Source organism: Homo sapiens, chromosome 5 (genome assembly GCF_000001405.40).
Source record: "Homo sapiens chromosome 5, GRCh38.p14 Primary Assembly".
Taxonomy (NCBI): domain Eukaryota; kingdom Metazoa; phylum Chordata; class Mammalia; order Primates; family Hominidae; genus Homo; species Homo sapiens.
The window spans coordinates 8,157,104-8,175,598 of record NC_000005.10 but is presented as its reverse complement, the minus strand read 5'-3'; the positions used below and the strand labels follow the sequence as shown (position 1 = coordinate 8,175,598).

Genomic DNA, 18,495 nt, shown 5'->3' with positions numbered 1-18,495 from the left:
TGAGGGGTCTTGTTTTTCTGGCTTGGAAAAACTAACTCCACTGTAAATACACAGTGGGATATGTGAGACATTGTTGTAACCCCCACTTCCTTTTCAAATTGAGAAAAAAAAATAAGTGTGAACTTTGGCCTATGTGGCATTCTATAAGCACATTTTCTGACATAAAACATGGCACAAAGTTTGGCTTTTTGGCTTTTAGCAATGTGGAGTTTTTATTATCTTAAATCCCACTCACTAGCGAACTTGGCAATAATTTCAGTCTTGCCATGGGCCATCAACTGAGTACCTGAGGAGGCTCTTTCTCAAGAAATCCCACGTAAGCTTTGTGAGTCTCATGTCTACTCTAACTCCTTTTTCCCCTTTGCCTTAAGTTTTCCTGAGTGCTCCCATTTAGTTCAGCTGAATTACTGTTCACAATTCACTTGCACGAAGTCACCATAGCTCATATTAGTGAGAGCGACCTTCCAACCCATCATTCCAGCCCTGCAGTGCAGCTCCTACTCAAAGGGCTGGGACAAGCTTCCTTGGAGAAATGCTAACGCAACCCTGGAGACGAACGTCATGGGAATCTCAGTAGGAAGGAACACTTGTACAGAACTGTCATTTAAAAGGAATGAGTTTCACCATTGTGTTTTTCATGCAATCCCACCACTGAAACTACTGACATGATGGGTCACAATTGGCTCACGTTGCTTTCACGGAAGTGAGGGTGGAACCTGCAACAGTTCAGTAAACTGTGTTTGTTAGCACTGGTGAATCTACACGCGTCTACAGCAACCTCAATTCTCGCCTCCTCAGAAGAAAGAATTTGACCAAGGAACATGAGGTAGAGGGAGAGACTGAAGCAAGTTTTAAAGCAGGAGTGAAAGTTTATTAAAAGGTTTTAGAGCAGGAACAAAAGGAAGTAAGGTACACTTGGAAGAGGGCCAAGTGGGCAACTTGAGAGATCCAAGTACATAGGTTGCTTTGACTTGGGGTTTCATACATTGGCATCCTTCCGGGGTCTTGTGTCCATTCTCCCCTGATTCTTTCATTGCAGTAGGCTGTCAGTATGTGCAGTGACCTGCCAGCACTTGGGAGGGGCCGCATGCGCAGTGTGATTACTGGAGTTGTGAACATACTCACTTGAGGCATTTTCCCTTGCCAGCTGAATGTTCCTAGAGGAAGATCGTATAGCAGTCAGATGCCACCATTTTTGCCTCTCAGTGTGTATGCTTGAGCCCACTCATCCAACTCCTGAGATATTATTAGGAAGCTGCTGATCACCAGTTTCAGGCTTTTCTATCTGTTAGGAGACTGCCTCTCCCTGGTGCCAACTACAACCAATTATTATTTTAAAGAGACAGTTTAACAACCACCTGACCATCACTGGATGGTCTCCTGACAATACTGGTGTGGGGCCCTCTTCTGCCCTGCTCATGTTTGCCTAATTACCTACTGTAACATGTTCTGAAGCTTCCTAAGTGGGAGGACATTTCCTACCTGCCTCCCCTAAATAAGCTACTGCTGGAAAGATGCAAGATACTCCGAAAATAACAAGGCTTGGTAGTTAACTAGTAGCCCGTTGAGATTTTCTCATTACATGGTGGAACCAATCATTGTGTAATTGAGGCACAAGATCAACTTTCAGCCATCACAGGGGCATACAGGCCCCACCATGTGGCAATGGTACAGATCTTTGAGCCCTCCTGTACTGTAAAATTAAGCTTATGTTTGTAAGAACTACTGGAGGTTCTAAATGTAGACACTAACTTGCGCCCCTTCCACATCCTGTGTTCAACGTTCATTCTTATTTTGTCTGTACATGATCTAAAGTGTAAACTGGACCACTAACATCTACTTTGAATGACGTTGTTTCAAAAGTAGGCAAGGTTCTGAAAAATCTTGTCTGATTAAAATAAAAATGAATAAGAGGACTTGATGTGCAATGTCCAAGACAAATAAAACTGTGTGATAAAATTTGTATGAAAATAAAATGCTTTTTTCACTTTGGGTTTGTGTCATGATTTGATTCTATTTTGAAATATTTTAATGGTATATAATAAATTAAGTTATCCATTTGATTATAAGAGCACTGGTTTCTAAGTTGTGTTATTAAGTCTCATTTATTTCAGAATTTTTCACTTGTCGATTTTTAGTGAGGCCCACAATAGCCTCCAAGATTGAGAAGCAGAAATGAACTTTTATTTAATAGGTCTGAGTTTGCAGTTATAGAATTGATTGTAGTCGTTCATCTTTGTCAGCCTGTGAGAGGGTGAGAAAAGAGGTTACATGGCAATAATAAAGGTTAATCAATTCATTAAATTGAAAACATGGGTCTGGCTGCTTCACCTTCGACATTGTGCTCAGTGCAAGGCGGGAAATGTGAGGGTCACCAGCATCACCCCAGGGGAACTTCTTCATCTAATAGCAAAGAAAGACTTTTAAAAAAAGTTAACAAAGGATTGTAAGTGCAGTGATAGCTCAGTGTATATATTATATAGATATATATAAAAAAAACACCTGGATCAGAGCATCCGACTCCATCAGAAGCCAAGAAAGGCAGAGAAAACTAAGATGTTAGAAAGTGTTACCATTATTTCATCAAGTGGAAAGAGGCTAAAATTTTAAACTTCATCTGGTAGGCATTGAGATTCCTATGATAGGTTTTAATCAAAGAAGCAATCAGGTAAATACTAATATTTCTGCAGTCAAATAATTACTGCGGGACTTACTTTGACTTCAGATTAGGGAAGACTACTTGAAAGATATTCACCGTGTTGTTCTACAATAGTGCCATACTTCAGCCATTTATGTTTGTATCTTTAATCCATCTGGAAGCATTGTTTTTCAGATTTAGTCTGATTAATGATCTAGTTTTCTTTTCCCTATAGGGTAACTCACATTTTCCATTATCACAGTCTGTCCACAGTATGAGTCCATTTCTCTATTCCTTTACAGCAAGGTTTTTCAACCTCAGTATAACTGACAATTGGACTAGATAATTCTTGGTTGTTACAGATATCCTGTGTTTTACAGTATTAAAGAGCACCCCAGCCTCCATCAACCACACGCACACCCTCCCCAGTCTTGTGACGTGAAAAATGTCTCCAAACTTCCAAATGTCCCATGAAGGATAAAATTGCTTCTGGCTGAGAACCACTGCTTTCAGGGTACTTTTCAGCCTTTATTACTGTGGCTTGAAAGTTACTTTCTAGAAGATTGGAGGGATATCTCTTGTCTTCCTTTACAGAATTATCTTAGCGAGTTGGAGACTTTCTTATATTTACATATATTTTTAAAATATTTTGTCCAATACTCATCAAATATCACTGGGTTATTAATGGACATATTAAATATCTTATTAATTTGGGGAATATAGACATATTTATAATGTTATGTTCCTCCAGTTAGTCATTCTTTTGTGACTTTTACAATTTATTCATAAATAATTCTATCTCTAAATTAATCCCACGTGGGTTATAGACTAATGCTAAAGCAAATAGTATCTTAGTTTCCTCTGGTATTTCCTATTACTTTTTGTGGAAAGTTATGGATTTATGTTTTGACTTTTACGTAGCCATTTTATACTCACTTTTAGACCATAAGCTTGTCAATGATTATTTTGAGTTTTTGTTATTAAAAGTATTTTATATATTAATATAGTACCAGCACACGATGAAAACTATCTCTTCTTCCTAATTCTTATACTGCTTATTAATGTTTCTTGTTGCAATGTCATAAAGAAAATTTCTCTAACATGTAAAACCTAATAGAGTTAGCTACATTAAGTTAAAGAAGATACAAGAAAGAAGAGACAGGCGACCAAACAGGAAAGTATATTTTTATCCTACATAAACCAAAATGGTGGTTTGTTTAGGAACAGGGGTCCGCAAACTTTTGAAAGGGCAACACGGTAAATAATCTAGGCTTGTGATCATACTGTCCATGTTGTAACTAATCAGCTTTACCATTGTAGCTTGAAAGCAGCTGTAGACAAGATGGAACTGAACTGATATCGTTCCAATCAAACTTTGTTTACAAAAACAGGTTTGGCTCACAAGTTGTAGACTGTTGAATCCTGATCTAGAACATGTTAATGACCACCAAAAATCAACATAAAAAGCAGTCATAACCAAGTAGATACATCATCTTGGATGATGTATCCAAGGGAATTTTGGGGGTAAGGAATCCTGAATTCTTGATACCACAGGTGAATTGCACAACTTTATTAATTCTAAGAAAAGACTTTATTTGATATAGAGATATTACTTCATACCATCTCAATGCTAAAAGTTTATAAAGTCAGACACCAGACAGTGGCATGGCAGTTATGTAAACAAAATTTTAGTGGGAGTGAAAACTGACAGTGTACTTTTGAATAATTTTTTTGCCTTTTTATTTTTTTATTTTTTATTAAAAAAATTTTTTTTATTATACTTTAAGTTCTGGGATACATGTGCAGAATGTGCAGGTTTGTCACATAGATATATATGTGCCATGGTGGTTTGTGTGCACCCATCAACCCATCATCTACATTAGGTATTTCTCCTAATGCTATCCGTCCCCTAGTCCCCCACCCCACAACAGGCCCCAGTGTGAGACGTTCCCCTTCCTGTGTCCATGTGTTCTCATTGTTCAACTTTCACTTGTGAGTGAGAACATGTCGTGTTTGGTTTTCTGTTCTTGTCTTAGTTTGCTGAGAATGATGGTTTCCAGCTTCATCCATGTCCCCGCAAAGGACATGAACTCATCCTTTCTTATGGCCGCATAGTATTCCACAGTGTATATATGCCATATTTTCTTTATCTAGTCGTCATTGATGAGCATTTGGGTTGGTTCCAAGTCTTTGCTATTGTGAACAGTGCTGCAATAAACATACGTGTCCATGTGTCTTTATAATAGAATGATTTATAAACCTTTCAGTATGTACCCAGAAATGGGATTGCTGGGTCAAATGATATTTCTGGTTCTAGATCCTTGAGGAGTCACCACACTGTCTTCCACAGTGGTTGAACTAATTTACACTCCCACCAACAGTGTAAAATGTTCCTATTTCTCCACATCCTCTCCAGCATCTGTTGTTTCCTGATTTTTAATGATTGCCATTCTGTTTTTGTGTTTGTTTGTTTGTTTGTTTGTTTGTTTGTTTTGAGATGAGTGAGAAGGAGTCTCACTCTTTTGCCAGGCTGGAGTGCACTGGTGTGTAATGACCGACATTCTAACCAATGTGAGATGGTATCTCATTATGGTTTTGATTTGCGTTTCTCTAATGACCAGTAATGATGAACTTTTTTTAAATTAATTAATTAGTTTATTTTTTAGTAGAGACAGCGTTTCACCATGTTGGCCAGATTGGTCTCAATCTCCTGACCTTATGATCCGCTCACCTCAGCCTCCCAAAATGCTGGGATTACAGGCGTGAGCCACCGTGCCCAGCTGATGAGATTTTTTTCATATGTTTGTGGGCCTCATAAATGTCTTCTTATGAAAAGTGTCTATTCATATCCTTCACCCACTTTTTGATGGCGTTCTTTGTTTTTTTTTCTTGTAAATTTGTTTAAGTTCTTTATAGATTCTGCATATCAGCCCTTTGTCAGATGGATAGCTTGTAAAAATTTCCTCCCATTCTGTATGTTGCTTGTTCACTCTAATGACAGTTTCTTTTGCTGTGCAGAAGCTCTTTAGTTTAATTAGATTTCATTTGTCAATTTTGGCTTCTCTTGCCATTGCTTTTGGTGTTTTAGTCATGAAGTCTTTGCCCATGCCTATGATCTGAATGGCATTGCCTAGATTTTCTTCTAGGGTTTTAATGGTTTTAGTTCTTATGTTTAAGTCTTTAATTCATTAATCCATCTTGAGTTAATTTTTGTATAAGGTGTAAGGAAGGGGTCCAGTTTCAGTTTTCTGCATATGGCTAGCCAGTTTTCCCAACACCATTTATTAAATATGGAATCCTTTCCCCATTGCATGTTTTTGTCAGGTTTGTCAAAGATCAGACGGTTGTAGATGTGTAGCATTATTTCTGAGGCCTCTGTTCTATTCCATTGGTCTATATATCTGTTTTGTTATCAGTACCATGCTGTTTTGGTTACTGTAGCCTTGTAGTATAGTTTGAAGTCAGGTAGCTTGATGCCTCCAGCTTTGTTCTTTTTGCTTAGGATTGTCTTGGCTATATGGGCTCTTTTTTGGTTCCATATGAAATTTAAAATAGATTTTTCTAATTCTGTGAAGAAAGTCAATGGTGGCTTGACAGGGATAGCATTGAATCTATAAATTAATTTGGGCTGCATGGCCTTTTTCACAATATTGATTCTTCCTATCCATGAGCATGGAATGTTTTTGCATTTGTTTGTGTCCTCTCTTATTTCCTTGAGCAGTGTTTGGTAGTTTTTTGTTTGTTTGTTTGTTTGTTTTTGAAAAGGTCCTTCACATCCCCTGTAAGTTGTATTCCTAGGTATTTTACTCTCTTAGTAGCAATTATGAATGGGGGTTCACACATGATTTGGCTCTCATTTTGTATATTATTGGTGTATAGGAATGCTTGTGATTTTTGCACATAGATTTTGTATCCTGAGACTTTGCTGAAGTTGCTTATCAGCTAAAGGACATTTTGTGCTGAGATGATGGGGTTTTCTAAATATACAATCGTGTCATCTACAAACAGAGACAATTTGACTTCCTCTCTTCATATTTGAATACACTTTATTTCTTTCTCTTGCCAATTGCCCTGGCCAGAACTTTCAATACTATGTTGAAAGAGAGGACATCTTTGTCTTGTGCCAGTTTTCAAAGGGAGTGCTTCCAGCTTTTGCTCATTCAGTATGTTATTGACTGTGCATTGTCATAAATAGCTCTTATTATTTTGAGATACATTCCATCAATACCTAGTTTATTGAGAGTATTTTGCATAAAGTGGTGTTGAATTTTGAAAAATATTTTAAAGTATTTATTGAAATAGAATACATGTATCACTGAAATCCAATATTTCTACTCCAGGGTTATGCTCTAAAATCTATTGTTGCATGTAAAAAGATGCTATAAAAAATGACTTTAATGAATCTACAATATATGTAAATCAAAATTGCCCAGTTCAAATGAGATGTACAGTTACTCTATCCAAAATAAGTCTCACAGAAGTATGTGGAGAGTTGTAGAAGACTGTCTCTTGTAGATTATTGCTGTAATTGCAAAAACAAAATCTCGTATCTAAAAAAGATATTCATAGAGTCTGGGTGAAATGGCTCACATCTATAATCTCTCAACATTTTGGAAGACCAAGGCAGAAGGATCACTTGAAGTCAGGAGTTCAAGACTAGACTGGACAACATAGTGAGATCCCATCTTTACAAAAAATAATATAAATAATTTTTTAAGTTAGCCAGGCATAGTGGCTCACACCTGTAGTCCCAGTTGCTCAAGAATCTGAGACAGGGGGATCACTTGGGCCCAGGATTTCACGGGTTGCAATGAGCTATGATTATGCCACTTCACTCCAGCCTGGGTGCCAGAACAAAACCTTGCTTCCAAAAGAAAAAAAGGAATCTTGGTAGAAAATTATATTGGAAATAACAAGTGGATACAAATCCTGAGTGTCTTCCTGGCATCAATCCGAAACCAAATACTGTTGCTTTCCTCAATAAATGTTAGTATATGTACATTCTACAAATTAGTTTAAATTTTGTTGGAGCTATTTATATTTCAAACTTCTGCAAAAATGCAAACAAACAAATTATACCTCATTAATTTGCTTTCAGCTCTAAAACTGATTGATTTGCTTTGCTTTTTTTTTCTCTAATTCATTCTGGTAAATAATTATGAAACTATGGACTTAAGGAATCTGAGAGTTGTCTTGTACTTCTTCCTCATTTAAAACAAACTTGTCTTAAACTTCCTATTTTAAAACATCATTGCTAGAACAACATGGGATAAATTGCATTCAAGAATTACTCTAAAGCTACTATAATTAAGAAAGGCTACTATATAGGAAATACTATGGCTGGACGTGGTGGCTCACATTTGTAATCACAGGACTTTGGGAGGCCAAGGCAGGTGGATCACTTGAGATCAGAAGTTCGAGACCAGGCTGTCCAACATGGTGAAACCCCATATCTACTTAAAAAATACAAAAATTAGCCAAACATGGTGTCGCAGGCCTGTAATCCCAGCGACTCAGAAGGTTGAGGCTGGAGAATCACTTGAACCCAGGAGATGGAGGTTGCAGTGAGCTGAAATCATGTCATTGCACCCCAGCCTGGGTGACTGAGAGAGACTCCATCTCAAAAAAACAAAAAAAGAAAAAGAAAAAAGAAATACTAGACACATCAATAGAACACAAGAGAGATGAGAAATAGATCCACACACATATGGTCACCTGAATTTTTTGAAGTACAAACACAAAGAAATTGAGGAAAAATGGTGCTCAAATGCAAAAAGCCAGATGTTTATATTTAAGAAAAAATAAATCTGGACAAAGACCTTGCGACTTTCACAAAAATATTTTCTCAAAATAGAACATAGTTCTAAAGTAAGATGCATAACTATACTTTCTAAAAGGAAACATAAGAGAAAATTAATATGACCTTAAATTTCTTGAGTAGCTAAATACAACAACACTAAAGCAAAGTTCATAAAACAAAAAATATGTTGGATTTTATTAAAATTAAAAACTTTTGTCCTGCAAAGGACACTGGTAAGAGAGTGAAAAGAGAAGCCACAGACTGGGATAAAATATTGCAAAACATATTTCTGATAAATGAGTGATATCCAAAACATAGAAAGAACACTTAGAACAATAGTATCACAACATAATTTAAAGATGGGCAAAGATCTGAACAGACACTTCAGTAAATATATACAGATGGCAAATTAGCATATAAAAAGATATTCAGATTGGAACCAAGATGACTGACTAGACAAAGCCAGGAGGAATATCTGCCACTGAGAGACAGGGACATCGGGAACCCATGTCCCTTATCACAGATTCTTCTCCAGCAGACTACAGAATGTCAGAGACCTCCAGCAGAGTGGCCCCCACCATTGCAAATCAGCCTATCTGCACTTTACCTTTACCTCAGGCTCCCCATGCCACTTTGTTGGCACACTTGCCCATAACTAACCCCCACAACTTTGCTGGCCCACGTGTGGGCAAACCTCACTTCATCTCACCTGACAGCATGTGTGTGTACATGCACACTACTAAATTACTGCTGCCAGCATGGGCACACTCTTTTGCCCCAACACCCTGGTGATGCATGAGCACCTGGCCATGCTGCCATTCCCAGCACAAGCGCATACACAGACTCCTGCAGCCCTGCCCCCAACCCCATGACATCTCTACTGCTGAGGTGAACACAGGCACAGAGGCCAGCAGCTTGGCTTGGCCTTTGCCAGCACCTGGAACACACCATGCTGCTGCCACCAGCACGGACATGAGCGCATTCATGGACACCAGAGCCCGACTCCCACCAGTACAGAACCCCAGCTGACATGCATCCAACCCACTGCACTGCCACAGCTGCCAGCACACATGAACAAGCAATGGTTCCACTGTCACTGCCCCAAATAAATGCTTTGTCCAACACCACCTATCAGAGTCTTATGGCCAGTGGACCAGGAACACCTCAGACCCTCCAGGGCAGCAGGTTGCTACTCTCAACTGGGCTGGAGAACAAAGCCAGGGGCCCAGTACCAGCTCCCTAGTGTTACAACATACAGTCCAGGAGTGCTGAGTTGAACCTTGGCCCCTAAAATCTTTGAGAAACAAAGCAGTTGACTGAACCCGCTTTATACCACAATAAAATCCTCAAGGGCATCAAATAAACTAAAAGCAAAAAAATCCCTCCAAAGGACAGTAACTCCAAAGATGAAAGGAACAGTCACCCACACAGATGAGAAAGAACTAGTGCAGAAACTCTGGCAACTCAGAAAGTCACTGTGTCTTCTTGCCTCCAAATCACCACACTAGCTCCCCAGCCATGGTTCTTAAACAGGTTGAAATGGCTGAAATGTCAGAAGTAGAATTCAGAATATGGATAGAAACAAAGATCATCAACGTTCAAGAGAAGGTTGAAACCCAATCTAAAGAATACAGTAAAATGACACAGGAGGTAAAAGATGAAATGGCCATTTTAAGAAAGAATCAAAGTGATCTGACTGAGCTGAAAAATTCACTTCAAGAATTTTATAGTATAATCACAGGTAATGACAGCAGAATTGACCAAACTGAGGAAAGAATCTCAGAGTTTGAAGACATGGTCTTTGAAATAACTCAATCAGATGGAGAAAAAAGGAAAACAAATAAAAAATAATGAATAAAACCTCCAAGAAACATGGGATCATGTAAAGAGACCAAATCTACAACTCTTTGAAAGAGATGGGGAGAAAGTAAGCAAAAAACATATTTCAGGATTTCATCCATGAAAATTGTCCCAAGCCTGTGAGAGGCCAACATTCAAATTCAGGAAATGCAGAAAATTCTTGCATAATACTATACATGATGACCATCTCCAAAACACATAGTCTTCAGATCTTCCAAGGTTGAAATGAAAGAAAAAATGTTAAAGGCAGCTACAGAGAAAAGGTCACCTACAAAGGGAACCTCATCAGGTTAATGATGGATCTTTCAGCAGAAACTCTACTAACCAGAAGAGATTAACGGCCTATATCCAGCATTCTTGAAGAAAAGAAATTCCAACCAAGAATTTCATATCCAGTCAAAGTAATCTTCACAGGTGAAGGAGAAATAAGATCCTTTTCAGAAAAGCAAATGCTAAGAGAGTTAATTATCACTAGACCTGTCTTACAAGAAGTCCTTAAGGGAGTGCTAAATATAGAAAGGAAAGACCATTACCAGTTACCACAAAAACACTGAAGTACATAAAGCATTGATATTATAAAACAACTGCACAATCAACTCTGCATAGTAACCAGCTAATGACATGATGACATAATCAAACACACATATCAGTATTAATTTGTAGTTTCCAATTCAAACATTTACATGTCAAATAAATATCCAAGAGTTTCTTTTTAATTTTTTATTTATTTATTTATTTATTTATTATTATACTTTAAGTTTCAGGGTACATGTGCCCATTGTGCAGGTTAGTTACATACGTATACATGTGCCATGCTGGTGTGCTGCACCCACTAATTCATCATCTAGCATTAGGTATATCTCCCAATGTTATCCCTCCCCCCTCCCACCACCCCACAACAGTCCCCAGAGTGTGATGTTCCCCTTCCTGTGTCCATGTGATCTCATTGTTCAATTCCCACCTATGAGTGAGAATATGTGGTGTTTGGTTTTTTGTTCTTGCAATAGTTTACTGAGAATGATGGTTTCCAATTTCATCCATGTCCCTACAAAGGACATGAACTCATCATTTTTTTATGGCTGCATAGTATTCCATGGTGTATATGTGCCACATTTTCTTAATCCAGTCTATCATTGTTGGACATTTGGGTTGGTTCCAAGTCTTTGCTATTGTGAATAGTGCCGCAATAAATATACGTGTGCATGTGTCTTTATAGCAGCATGATTTATAGTCCTTTGGGTATATACCCAGTAATGGGATGGCTGGGTCAAATGGTATTTCTAGTTCTAGATCCCTGAGGAATCGCCACACTGACTTCCACAATGGTTGAACTAGTTTACAGTCCCACCAACAGTGTAAAAGTGTTCCTATTTCTCCACATCCTCTCCAGCACCTGTTGTTTCCTGACTTTTTAATGATTGCCATTCTAACTGGTGTGAGATGGTATCTCATTGTGGTTTTGATTTGCATTTCTCTGATGGCCAGTGGTGGTGAGCATTTTTTCATGTGTTTTTTGGCTGCATAAATGTCTTCTTTTGAGAAATGTCTGTTCATGTCCTTTGCCCACTTTTTGATGGGGTTGTTTGTTTTTTTCCTGTAAATTTGTTTGAGTTCATTGTAGATTCTGGATATTAGCCCTTTGTCAGATGAGTAGGTTGCGAAAATTTTCTCCCACTTTGTAGGTTGCCTGTTCACTCTGATGGTAGTTTCTTTTGCTGTGCAGAAGCTCTTTAGTTTAATTAGATCCCATTTGTCAATTTTGGCTTTTGTTGCCGTTGCTTTTGGTGTTTTAGACATGAAGTCCTTGCCCATGCCTATGTCCTGAATGGTAATGCCTAGGTTTTCTTCTAGGGTTTTTATGGTTTTAGGTCTAACATGTAAGCCTTTAATCCATCTTTAATTGATTTTTGTATAAGGTGTAAGGAAGGGATCCAGTTTCAGCTTTCTACATATGGCTAGCCAGTTTTCCCAGCACCATTTATTAAATAGGGAATCCTTTCCCCATTGCTTGTTTTTCTCAGGTTTGTCAAAGATCAGATAGTTGGAGATATGCGGCATTGTTTCTGAGGGCTCTGTTCTGTTCCATTGATCTATATCTCTGTTTTGGTACCAGTACCATGCTGTTTTAGTTACTGTAGCCTTGTAGTATAGTTTGAAGTCAGGTAGCATGATGCCTCCAGCTTTGTTCTTTTGGCTTAGGATTGACTTGGTGATGTGGGCTCTTTTTTGGTTCCATATGAACTTTAAAGTAGTTTTTTCCAATTCTGTGTAGAAAGGCATTGGTAGCTTGATGGGGATGGCATTGAATCTGTAAATTACCTTGGGCAGTATGGCCATTTTCACGATATTGATTCTTCCTACCCATGAGCATGGAATGTTCTTCCATTTGTTTGTATCCTCTTTTATTTCCTTGAGCAGTGGTTTGTAGTTCTCCTTGAAGAGGTCATTCACATCCCTTGTAAGTTGGATTCCTAGGTATTTTATTCTCTTTGAAGCAATTGTGAATGGGAGTTCACTCATGATTTGGCTCTCTGTTTGTCTGTTGTTGGTGTATAGGAATGCTTGTGATTTTTGCACATTGATTTTGTATCCTGCGACTTTGCTGAAGTTGCTTATCAGCTTAAGGAGATTTTGGGCTGAGACAATGGGGTTTTCTAGATATACAATCATGTGATCTGCAAACAGGGACAATTTGACTTCCTCTTTTCCTATTTGAATACCCTTTATTTCCTTCTCCTGCCTAATTGCCCTGGCCAGAACTTCCAACACTATGTTGAATAGGAGTGGTGAGAGAGGTCATCCCTATCTTGTGCCAGTTTTCAAAGGGAATGCTTCCAGTTTTTGCCCATTCAGTATGATATTGGCTGTGGGTTTGTCATAGATAGCTCTTATCATTTTGAAATATGTCCCATCAATACCTAATTTATTGAGAGTTTTTAGCATGAAGGGTTGTTGAATTTTGTCAAAGGCCTTTTCTGCATCTATTGAGATAATCATGTGGTTTTTGTCTTTGTCTCTGTTTATATGCTGGATTACATTTATTGATTTGCGTATATTGAACCAGCCTTGCATCCCTGGGATGAAGCCCACTTGATCATGGTGGATAAGCTTTTTGATGTGCTTCTGGATTCGGTTTGCCAGTATTTTATTGAGGATTTTTGCATCAATGTTCATCAAGGATATTGGTCTAAAATTCTCTTTTTTGGTTGTGTCTCTGCCTGGCTTTGGTATCAGAATGATGTTGGCCTCATAAAATGAGTTAGGGAGGATTCCCTCTTTTTCTATTGACTGGAATAGTTTCAGAAGGAATGGTACCAGTTCCTCCCTGTACCTCTGGTAGAATTCGGCTGTGAATCCATCTGGTCCTGGACTCTTTTTGGTTGGTAAGCTATTGATTATTGCCACAATTTCAAATCCTGTTATTGGTCTATTCAGAGATTCAACTTCTTCCTGGTTTAGTCTTGGGAGAGTGTATGTGTCAAGGAATTTATCCATATCTTCTAGATTTTCTAGTTTATTTGCGTAGAGGTGTTTGTAGTATTCTCTGATGGTAGTTTGTATTTCTGTGGGATCGGTGGTGATATCCCCTTTGTCATTTTTTATTGCGTCTATTTGATTCTTCTCTCTTTTTTTCTTTATTAGTCTTGCTAGCGGTCTATCAATTTCGTTGATCCTTTCAAAAAACCAGCTCCTGGATTCATTAATTTTTTGAAGGGTTTTTTGTGTCTCTATTTCCTTCAGTTCTGCTCTGATTTTAGTTATTTCTTGACTTCTGCTAGCTTTTGAATGTGTTTGCTCTTGCTTTTCTAGTTCCTTTAATTGTGATGTTAGGGTGTCAATTTTGGATCTTTCCTGCTTTCTCTTGTGGGCATTTAGTGCTATAGATTTCCCTCTACACACTGCTTTGAATGTGTCCCAGAGATTCTGGTATGTTGTGTCTTTGTCCTCCTTGGTTTCAAAGAAGATCTTTATTTCTGCCTTCATTTCGTTATGTACCCAGTAGTCATTCAGGAGCAGGTTGTTCAGTTTCCATGTAGTTGAGCGGTATTGCGTGAGTTTCTTAATCCTGAGTTCTAGTTTGATTGCACTGTGGTCTGAGAGATAGTTTGTTATAATTTCTGTTCTTTTACATTTGCTGAGGAGAGCTTTACTTCCAAGTATGTGGTCACTTTTGGAATAGGTGTGGTGTGGTGCTGAAAAAAATGTATATTCTGTTGATTTGGGGTGGAGAGCTCTGTAGATGTCTATTAGGTCCGCTTGTTGCAGAGCTGATTTCAATTCCTGGATATCCTTGTTGACTTTCTGTCTCGTTGATCTGTCCAATGTTGACAGTAGGGTGTTAAAGTCTCCCATTATTAATGTGTGGGACTCTAAGTCTCTTTGTAGGTCACTCAGGACTTGCTTTATGAATCTGGGTGCTCCTGTATTGGGTGCATATATATTTAGGATAGTTAGCTCTTCTTGTTGAATTGATCCCTTTACCATTATGTAATGGCCTTCTTTGTCTCTTTTGATCTTTGTTGGCTTAAAGTCTGTTTTATCAGAGACTAGGATTGCAACCCCTGCCTTTTTTTGTTTTCCATTTGCTTGGTAGATCTTCCTCCATCCTTTTATTTTGAGCCTGTGTGTGTCTCTGCACATGAGATGGGTTTCCTGAATACAGCACACTGATGGGTCTTGACTCTTTATCCAATTTGCCAGTCTGTGTCTTTTAATTGGAGCATTTAGTCCCTTTACATTTAAAGTTAATATTGTTATGTGTGAATTTGATCCTGTCATTATGATGTTAGCTGGTTATTTTGCTCGTTAGTTGATGCAGTTTCTTCCTAGTCTCGATGGTCTTTACATTTTGGCATGATTTTGCAGTGGCTGGTACCGGTTGTTCCTTTCCATGTTTAGCGCTTCCTTCAGGAGCTCTTTTAGGGCAGGCCTGGTGGTGACAAAATCTCTCAGGATTTGCTTGTCTGAAAAGTATTTTATTTCTCCTTCACTTATGAAGCTTAGTTTGGCTGGATATGAAATTCTGGGTTGAAAATTCTTTTCTTTAAGAATGTTGAATATTGGCCCCCACTCTCTTCTGGCTTGTAGAGTTTCTGCTGATAGATCTGCTGTTAGTCTGATGGGCTTCCCTTTGAGGGTAACCCAACTTTTCTCTCTGGCTGCCCTTAACATTTTTTCCTTCATTTCAACTTTGGTGAATCTGACAATTATGTGTCTTGGAGTTGCTCTTCTCGAGGAGTATCTTTGTGGTGTTCTCTGTATTTCCTGAATCTGAATGTTGGCCTGCCTTGCTAGACTGGGGAGGTTCTCCTGGATAATATCCTGCAGAGTATTTTCCAACTTGGTTCCATTCTCCCCGTCACTTTCAGGTACACCAATCAGACGTAGATTTGGTCTTTTCACATAGTCCCATATTTCTTGGAGGCTTTGCTCATTTCTTTTTATTCTTTTTTCTCTAAACTTCCCTTCTCGCTTCATTTCATTCATTTCATCTTCCATCGCTGATACCCTTTCTGCCAGTTGATCGCATCGGCTCCTGAGGCTTCTGCATTCTTCACGTAGTTCTCGAGCCTTGGTTTTCAGCTCAATCAGCTCCTTTAAGCACTTCTCTGTATTGGTTATTCTAGTTATACATTCATCTAAATTTTTTTCAAAGTTTTCAACTTCTTTGCCTTTGGTTTGAATGTCCTCCCGGAGCTCGGAGTAATTTGATTGTCTGAAGCCTTCTTCTCTCAGCTCGTCAAAGTCATTCTCCATCCAGCTTTGTTCCGTTGCTGGTGAGGAACTGCGGTCCTTTGGAGGAGGAGAGTCGCTCTGCTTTTTAGAGTTTCCAGTTTTCTGCTCTGTTTTTTCCCCATCTTTGTGGTTTTATATACTTTTGGTTTTGATGATGGTGATGTACAGATGGGTTTTTGGTGTGGATGTCCTTTCTGTTTGTTAGTTTTCCTTCTAACAGACAGGACCCTCAGCTGCAGGTCTGTTGGAGTACCCTGCCGTGTGAGGTGTCAGTCTGCCCCTGCTGGGGGGTGCCTCCCAGTTAGGCTGCTCGGGGGTCAGGGGTCAGGGACCCACTTGAGGAGGCAGTCTGCCCGTTCTCAGATCTCCAGCTGCGTGCTGGGAGAACCACTGCTCTCTTCAAAGCTCAGATGGAAATGCAGAAATCACCCGTCTTCTGTTTCGCTCACGCTGGGAGCTGTAGACCAGAGCTGTTCCTATTCAGCCATCTTGGCTCCTCCCCGCCAGACTTCTTAACCTGCTTCTTAACAGGGTGGTTCATACTGATGTGTGCAGCTGTATTTCTTACGCATGTGTGTGCATGCGAGTGTAGCACACAGAAAGGGAAAATGAAGAAGGCCTGTATTTCTAGGCAATAAGTTTTCAAAGACTATAATAACATATCTGAACATGCACCTGTGTCTACACTCTCTAATCAAAGCATTTTAATACATAAATTGAGAAATGGGCTAAATCAATTGACAAGAACAATAGATCAATTGTCTACCTATCTACCTGTCCCTACCTCATAAGTCGTGGATTATGGAAACACATAGTGAACAGTCTGAATCTAATAGGGGGTGACTGTGGTGTGGCTTTTTTTCTGTAGCCACTGCCAATAACGTTCTATGTCAAACCTTCCTTCACCATTTTGTAGCATTTTGTTTAATTCCATCTTGACCATATCCACTAGCTTTTAGAAATCCATTCAGTTTTAAATCCCAATCTTACTTCAGCTCAAAGTTTCTCTCTCCCCCTTGCATAGCCACGCTGGTGGCTCCAGGAACCTGCACTTGGGAGGGGTCTGTCTGTTCTTTCACTCCTCTCCTTCCCGCTCCAGCACTGGTGAGTGGAGAAAGGGACTATGGAGTTGTTCTGGGACCTCCCTTCCCTTCCATTTGCAGAGCCTCACTTCTCCGGTTGAGGTTTCCGGGAAGTAATGGATGGGAAATGTCAAGTACATCCTTATTTTGCTGACATGGTGCAATCCTGCCAGTCTCTGCTGCCACTGATGATAACCTCTACTGGCCATTCAATTCCTCTGTCTGTGTCTTGGGATGCACATTCTGGCTCTGTCTCTTTTTTTTTTTTTTTTTTTTTTTTGAGACCGAGTCTCGCTCTGGCGCCCAGGCTGGAGTGCAGTGGCGCGATCTTGGCTCACTGCAAGCTCCGCCTCCCGTGTTCACGCCATTCTCCTGCCTCAGCCTCCAGAGTAGATGGGATTACAGGCGCCCGCCACCACGCCCGGCTGATGTTTTTTTGTATTTTTAGTAGAGACGGGGTTTCACCATGTTAGCCAGGGTGGTCTCTATCTTCTGACCTCATGATCCACCTGCCTCGGCCTCCCAAAGTGCTGGGATTACAGGCATGAGCCATTCTGGCTCTCTTGTAGGATGCATGGGTAAGTTATTTTGGAGTCCAAAAGGTAGATGCCTGGGATAGGGTAATTGGAGGACTCAGAATGACTGCTGGGCACAAAGGGCAGAAGACAGCACCTCCAGATTTTACCAAGTATGGAAATATGAGGGAAAGGTTCACGCAGGTCTTGGTATCCACTGCTGCTTTTCCCTCCAGAGTGAACAGGCAGGCACAGTGAAAGCCAACGGAGCCATTCCTATTATTGAGAAGCCTCGTGGTGATGGTGTCTGGTTGAAGCTGATTGATGAGATAATAAAGAAACTGATCTGGAGCACACAGATGGTCACACATGCACGGTTCCTCTCTTTGAACTGACATCTTGGCAAAAGCCCTCTGAGCCCCAGGGATTGCAATGCAGAATAGACACAAATCCACTTGAGTCAGCAGAAGTCTGCTGTATGTGCATACGTGCTTGCACATGTAGAGAAGACACCTGGAAGGATGTACCACAGCTTGTCCAGCCCGTCATCTGACTCAGGAGGTGGGCCTGAGGAATGGGTGGTGGAAAAAGTTAATTTTCACTATTGCCCTTCTGTTCGTTGAAGTCTTATACCTTATGTGTATTACCTATTTAAAACTAAATAAAATCCAAAATGAGAGAAAGAGAGAAATAATACAAAAATGTGAGAAAAATCACATGGCTTGCTGCTTTCATTAAAAATAAACAAACACACACTAGAGAATGATACTTGCATATGAAAAGACTCGCAGTGTGGTTCCACATATACAGAGAAGCCATAAGCACAGGAAAGTTTCAGTTACTCCTGTTCTATTCTGCTTACCT

The 18,495-nt window shown here is 39.5% G+C and overlaps 2 annotated features.

The window, feature by feature from the left end:
- Window positions 8,860-9,359: an enhancer, noted in NCBI's record as "H3K4me1 hESC enhancer chr5:8166353-8166852 (GRCh37/hg19 assembly coordinates)". NCBI's record gives its function as "activates a minimal SCP1, AML or CMV promoter by ChIP-STARR-seq in primed H9 embryonic stem cells {active_cell/tissue: H9 hESC(primed)}" and the evidence as "EXISTENCE:reporter gene assay evidence [ECO:0000049][PMID:30033119]".
- Window positions 9,360-9,861: an enhancer, noted in NCBI's record as "H3K4me1 hESC enhancer chr5:8165851-8166352 (GRCh37/hg19 assembly coordinates)". NCBI's record gives its function as "activates a minimal SCP1, AML or CMV promoter by ChIP-STARR-seq in primed H9 embryonic stem cells {active_cell/tissue: H9 hESC(primed)}" and the evidence as "EXISTENCE:reporter gene assay evidence [ECO:0000049][PMID:30033119]".